General features: G+C 51.3%; 1 annotated feature.

Moving 5' to 3' along the window:
* Positions 717 to 1,494: an enhancer, noted in NCBI's record as "H3K4me1 hESC enhancer chr22:39370179-39370956 (GRCh37/hg19 assembly coordinates)". NCBI's record gives its function as "activates a minimal SCP1, AML or CMV promoter by ChIP-STARR-seq in naive H9 embryonic stem cells {active_cell/tissue: H9 hESC(naive)}" and the evidence as "EXISTENCE:reporter gene assay evidence [ECO:0000049][PMID:30033119]".

Genomic DNA, 6,300 nt, shown 5'->3' with positions numbered 1-6,300 from the left:
TGGGTTGAAGCCATTCTGCTGCCTCAGCCTCTAGAGTAGCTGGGATTATAGGCATGTGCCACCATGCTTGACTAATTTTTGTATTTTTTTTAGTAGAGACAGGGTTTCACCATGTTGGCCAGGCTGGTCTCGAATTCCTGATCTCAAGTGATCTGCCTGCCTTAGCCTCCCAAAGAGCTGGGATTACAGGCGTGAGCCACCATGTCCAGCCCAGATTTTTTTTTTTTTAATGAAACATTGTATCTGAACTAAGGAAGTTGCATGTAAAGTTAGGTAAATGGTAAAATACAAAAAAGAAAGAATCTCTGTAACTGATTTCAAGACTTGTTTCAATTGCCCCAGCTGCGTTTGAGCACCTGGGTAGAGACCTACCTGGCTGGGTCAACCCCAGCTTGGCTTTGCAACCTCTAACTGCAATAGTCCATTTCCTCATCTGAACAGGGAAGGTGAAAATGATGGCTCCTCACTGTGGGGTTGGGCGCAAGGGTTCAATGAGCGCTCCCATTCAGGTGTAAGGTTTAAATGAGCCGCTCCCCTTCAGGCATAAGGAACGGAGCCTGGTGGGTGGTCAGTACTCAGTAGATGTTGCTTATTTTCACTTTTTTCTGCTTCTGTTTGAGTCCTTAAAGTTTACAGCAAGGGGAGTCATAACACCCAGTGCCAGCTCCCTGTTTAGGGCTATGCACACTCAAGCACCGTAGCACTCGGCAAACATGGGCTGACAGCCTGCGTGTCCTCCCAAAGGTAGAAACAGCAGGGCTTAGGAACAGGGGAGCTGGGAGCACTAAAGGTGACTGCAGAGTCCAGCCCAGGAGACTGGGGGTGTCCAGCTGGAGAAGGCGATTTGGGGTCATAAGTGACCAACATTGAGACTCGGCACCCAGTCCGAGGGAGGATGGGGCCAGGGCAGAAGGCCCAGAGAGAGGAGATGCCGTCCAGCCAGGAGGAGGACGCTCACATTCACGGGAGCTCCAGAGGAGGGAGGCAGAGTAAAGAAGCGACCACAGTGCCAGATGCTGTAGGGGGCTGTGCACGGCCTTGGCCTGGCCTCTATATTTCTCCTCCTCGAGTTCTGTTTCTCTTATCTTTACTATTTGAGGCCACACCTGGCATGATGCTCTTCAGGGTCTCTGTCAACGGAGCGCCCGTCCAGAGGGCAGAACTGGGGAAGCCAGTATCACCCTTCCCTGACTCCGGGACACGTGAGGTGCAGATCTGGGCTCTGCCCAGAAGCCATGAAAGCCAATCTGATACTAGCCTTGGTTTCCTGGACTGGGACAGACTCACCTACATCCCTGCAGTCTTAGGGCATGTTATCCAGGTGACGCCACTCTGGGTGGCAAAGACAAAACCCAAAAAGCAAGGGCAGGCCGGGCGCGGCGGCTCACACTTGTAATCCCAGCACTTTGGGAGGCCAAGGTGGGCAGATCACTTAAGGTCAGAAGTTTGAGACCAGCCTGGCCAACAAGGTGAAACCCCATCTCTACCAAAAATATAAAAAATTAGCTGGGTGTGGTGGCGTGCACCTGTAATCCCAGCTACTCAGGAGGATGAGACAAGAGAATCATTTGAACCCGGGAGGTAGAGGTTGCAGTGAGCTGAGTTGGTGCCACTGCACTCTAGTCTGAGTGGCAGAGCAAGACTCTGTCTCAAAAAAACCAAACCAAACCAAAAACCAAAAAACAAAAAACAAAAAAAACAAGCAAGGGCAGGTGCAGCCCAGCCCCATCCCTGTGTTTCTCAGCACCTGGCCCAGGCTCTGCAAGGCACGGACTCCTGGGTGACAAAGTGGAGCTTCAGGGTCTCCTCCAGTGTGGCCTGGGGGTCCTGCAACCTGACTTTCACGGGACCCTGCCGAGGAAAGGGACAAAGGTTTATGCCGCATGCCTCTGCTGCATGCTCGCCCTCTAGAGGGTGTGACCTGAACAGCACACTTGAGAAGTTGAATTTTTCTCACCTTCCTACAGTTGAGGAGTGGGACTGTCAAGGCAAAGCAGCCTGGGTGGTGACAGCAGGCTTTGGTAAAAAGGTTCTCTCTGCCCTGGATCCTGGGTCCAGGTTCTATTCTGGTGTTACTGAGGGTCCTAGCGAGCTTGCACCGGAACTCCTTGCCTTGTCCCGTCTGCATGACTCTTGATGACCTACTTCGATATGGAGGGGTGTGCCCTACCTTGAGCTTGGCCCCAGCGTCCCCCTGTATGGAGCCTCCACCTGTTCTCCCTTTCCCAGGCCCCCCAGGCCCATCCCCTGCCTGCTAATAGTCCTTGCTCCTAGAGAAAACAGGCCCTGCAGAGGCCCCGGGTTGGATATGCTCACGTAGAAAATGTTCACTTGAGACCTTATTCGTCTGATCTTCCCTTGCTTGGGTGACTCTAACAAATGTCGACTTTTTTTTTTTTTGAGACAAAATCTCACTCTGTTGCCCAAGCTGGAGTGCAGTGGCACGATCACCGCTCACTGCAGCCTCAACCTCCGGAGCTCAAGGCATCTTCTCTCCTCAGCTTCCCACATAACTGAGACTACAGGCTCACGCCACCACACCTGGCTAATTTTTTTGTATTTTTTGTAGAGGTGGTCTCACCATGTTGTCCAGGCTGGTCTCAAACTCCTGGAATCAAGCCATCTGCCTGCCTCAGCCTCCCAAAGTGCTGGGATTACAGGTATGAGCCACCGTGGCTGGCCAAAGGTGGATTTTTCATCATTTTTCTCTAAGGGCTTGGGCTGGTGTGGTGGGGGTGCAGTGTACGCCTCACGCTTCCTCCGGTCTGTTTTTACAACCCTTTGCCATGAGATTTTGACACTCTTCTCATCAAGGGATGCAGTCTATTTTTTTGTCCCCTTCCATCTGGGCTGGTCTGTGACTTGCATTGGCCAATAAAATGCAGTAGAAATGATGTCATGTGATTTCCTTGGCTGGGCTTTGAGTAGCCTTGTAGGTTTCATTTTTTGCATATCTAGGACTTGCTCACCTACATGCAAGGAAAACAGACTTGTAGTCCTAAATGCTGCGAGACCAGGTGGAGAGAGGAAACACCCCAGCTGACAGCCTGCCCAAGCCTCCAGGCATGTGATGAAGGCCCCCTGGATATTCAGCCCCATCTAGCGATTCCCTTTTTTTTTTTTTTTTTTTTTGAGATGGAGTTTCTCTCATGTTGCCCAAGCTGGAGTGCAATGGCGCAATCTCGGCTCACTGCAACCTCCACCTCCCGGGTTCAAGCGATTCTCCTGCCTCAGCCTTCCGAGTAGCTAGGATTATAGACACCCGCCACCACACCCAGGTAATTTTTGTATTTTTTAGTAGAGACAGGGTTTCACTATGTTGGCCAGGCTGGTCTTGAACTCCTGACCTCAGATAATCCACCTGCCTCACCCTCCCAAAGTGCTGAGATTACAGGCCTGAGCCACCGAGCCCAGCTGGAGATCACTTGTGTTTTAGAGCACAGATCTCTGAACCTGAGGCAACTCACCCCCACAAAACAAACTGAAGGTGCCCTGTCTATACCTGGGATTGATTTAGATGACAGGATCTTGGATGTGATGTCTGAACATGATTCCATATTGGGGTGATACTTTGTGGCTGTTGGGAATGGGTGGGTTATTTTCAAGTGGGTGGAGTAAGATGCATTGGCACACAGGGAAGACTGATAAACTGTCATGTTGGCGATCCCCAGTGAAACACACCCCCTGATATTCACATCCTTGTGACTGGCTTCCCACACAACACACAGACACACACAAACACACACACACATACACGTATATTTTCTTTTTGAAAAGCATCTCGCTCTGTCACCTAGGCTGGAGTGCAGTGGTACCATCATGGCTCACTGCAACCTCCACCTTCTGGGCTCAAATTCTCCTCCTGTCTCAGCCTCTGGAGTAGCTGGGACTACAGGTGCACACCTGGTAGCAACAGGGTTTCACCATATGGCCCAGGCTGGTCCTGAACTCCTGGCCTCAAGCGATCCACCCGCCTTGGTCTTCCAAAGTGCTGGAATAACAGGTGAGAGCCACCATGCCCAGCCTCGTCCTCCCATATCAACACTGAGCTTGACCACTTACCTTGGCCAACAGGGCATTAGCAAGTGTGATGTAGGCAGAGTCTTGACCAGACTTGGTATTTTGGAACCCAGATGCCATTCGGTGAGGGAGCTCAAGCTGGATGCATGGGGTGACCACAGGGAGAGCATCTGACAGCCCAGCTGGGTGCCTGGCTGATAGCCCACACCAAGTACCAGGCAGGTAAGTGAGACCACTGGGCACCATCCAGCCCGCCTGGCCGCCTTCCGACTGTAGCTGCACGAGTGAGCCAGCTGCTGGCTCATCCAGTGGACAGGTCATCTGAGTCCTGATCCACAGAAGCCTGAACAATACACCTTATGGTAAGCTTTAAGGTGGGGTGGTTTGTAGCACAGAAATGGATCTTTGAAGCAGGTGTGATTCTCCATGCAAGGCTCTGGCAATTGCCCCAACCTTTATGCAGTCTCCAGTGACGAATTTCTTTACCCATTTATTTTGAAACGTGTATTTTGGCCGCAGCACCCAGAATCTGACTCCTCCACCTTGGTCGTCATGGAAAGCTCATCTCTGGTGGCAGTGTTATCATTCTGTCAATTACTCAAGAGCCCAATACAAACAGGTATCACAGAGGATGTGACTGTCCACTCTGTGTACCTCCTAGCCCACTCCTTGGGGCTAATGAATAATTTGTGTATTACCATCCACCGTTTTCTCATTCCTTTATACTGTTTTTAATCATTCATTTTTTTTCTTTCAACAATTGTAAATGGATTCCTACCCAGGGGGCAAGGCTGGCTGCCAGCACTGCCGTCGAGGCATGGGCAGGAAGCAGTGGACTCTGACCTCAGTGCGTTTATGGGAAGTGGAGGCAGATGGTCAAGAAATGAGAATCTACACACAGGGAAGATAAATCTGGTTTGTAACAAGGGCGGTGCAGGAAATAGACATGGAGATGGGGCAGAAGGGAACTGTGTGGGCAGCTCGCTTTAAGAGGCCAGGGGAGGTGACTTGGGAACTGAATCCTGAGGGAGAGAAGGGATAGCAGTGGGAAGAGCCGAGGGAAGCTTTGTCCAGAGAGAGGGAATGGCAGGTGCCGTGGTCTGAGGCGAGAGAGGGCTGGGTGACCTGGACTAGAACAGACACCAGCCAGACAGCATAGAAAACAAGTAGAGGAGCTGGGCGCGGTGGCTCACACCTGTAATCCCAGCACTTTGGGAGGCTGAGGCGGACAGATCACCTGAGGTCGGGAGTTCGAGACCAGCCTGACCAACATGGAGAAACCCTGTCTCTACTAAAAATACAAAATTAGTTGGTCATGGTGGTGCATTCCTATAATCCCAGCTACTCGGAGGCTGAGACAGGAGAATCACTTGAACCCAGGATGTGGAGGTTGTGGTTAGCCAAGATTGTGCCATTGCACTCCAGCCTGGGCAACAACAGAGAAACTCCGTCTTAAAAAAAAAAAAAAAAAAAGTAGAGGGTGACAAAGCTGGCACGGGAGGAGGGAGTCTCATGGGTCATTGGGAAAAATGTAAATTTCTTTTTTTTTTTTTTTTTTTGAGACAGAGTCTTGCTCTGTCCCCCAGGCTGGATTGCAGTGGTGCCATCTCGGCTCACTGCAACCTCTGCCTCCCAGCTTCAAGCGAGTCTCCTGCCTTAGCCTCCTGAGTAGCTGGGATTACAGGCGCCTGCTACCATGCCCAGCTAAGTTTTGTATTTTTAATAGAGACACAGTTTCACCATGTTGGCCAGGCTGGTCTCCAACTCCCGACCTCAAGCGATCCACTCGCCTCGGCCTCCCAAAATGCTGGGATTACAGGTGTGAGCCACCGCACTCGGCCTCGATTTCATTTTAAAAGACAACAACTGGGTGTACCCTCCCGCATGTGCCCACATGCACGTGCACATGCATACATGGGTGTGTGAGCCTACATGCATGTGTACATGTGCATATCCATGTGTGGTTGGGGTAGGGGTTGTTTCATGTCACCAAACAGTGACATGACCTGGTTTTTCTTTTGAAGAGTCACTCCAGAGCTGGGCCAGGTGGCTGATGCCAGTAATCCTGGCACTATGGGAGGTCAAGGATGGAGGATTGCTTGAGACCAGGAGTTTGAAGACCAGCCTGGGCAACATAGCAAGACCCTGTCTCTACAAAAAATTCCCCAGGCATGGTGGCATGGTCCTGTTGTCCCAGCTACTCAGGAGGCTGAGATTGGAGGATTGCCTGAGCTCAGGAGTTCGAGGCTGCAGTGAGATATGATCACGCTGCAGCACTCC

The sequence above is a fragment of the Homo sapiens genome, chromosome 22 (assembly GCF_000001405.40).
Source record: "Homo sapiens chromosome 22, GRCh38.p14 Primary Assembly".
NCBI lineage: Eukaryota > Metazoa > Chordata > Mammalia > Primates > Hominidae > Homo > Homo sapiens.
This window is presented reverse-complemented; position numbering and strand designations above follow the sequence as displayed.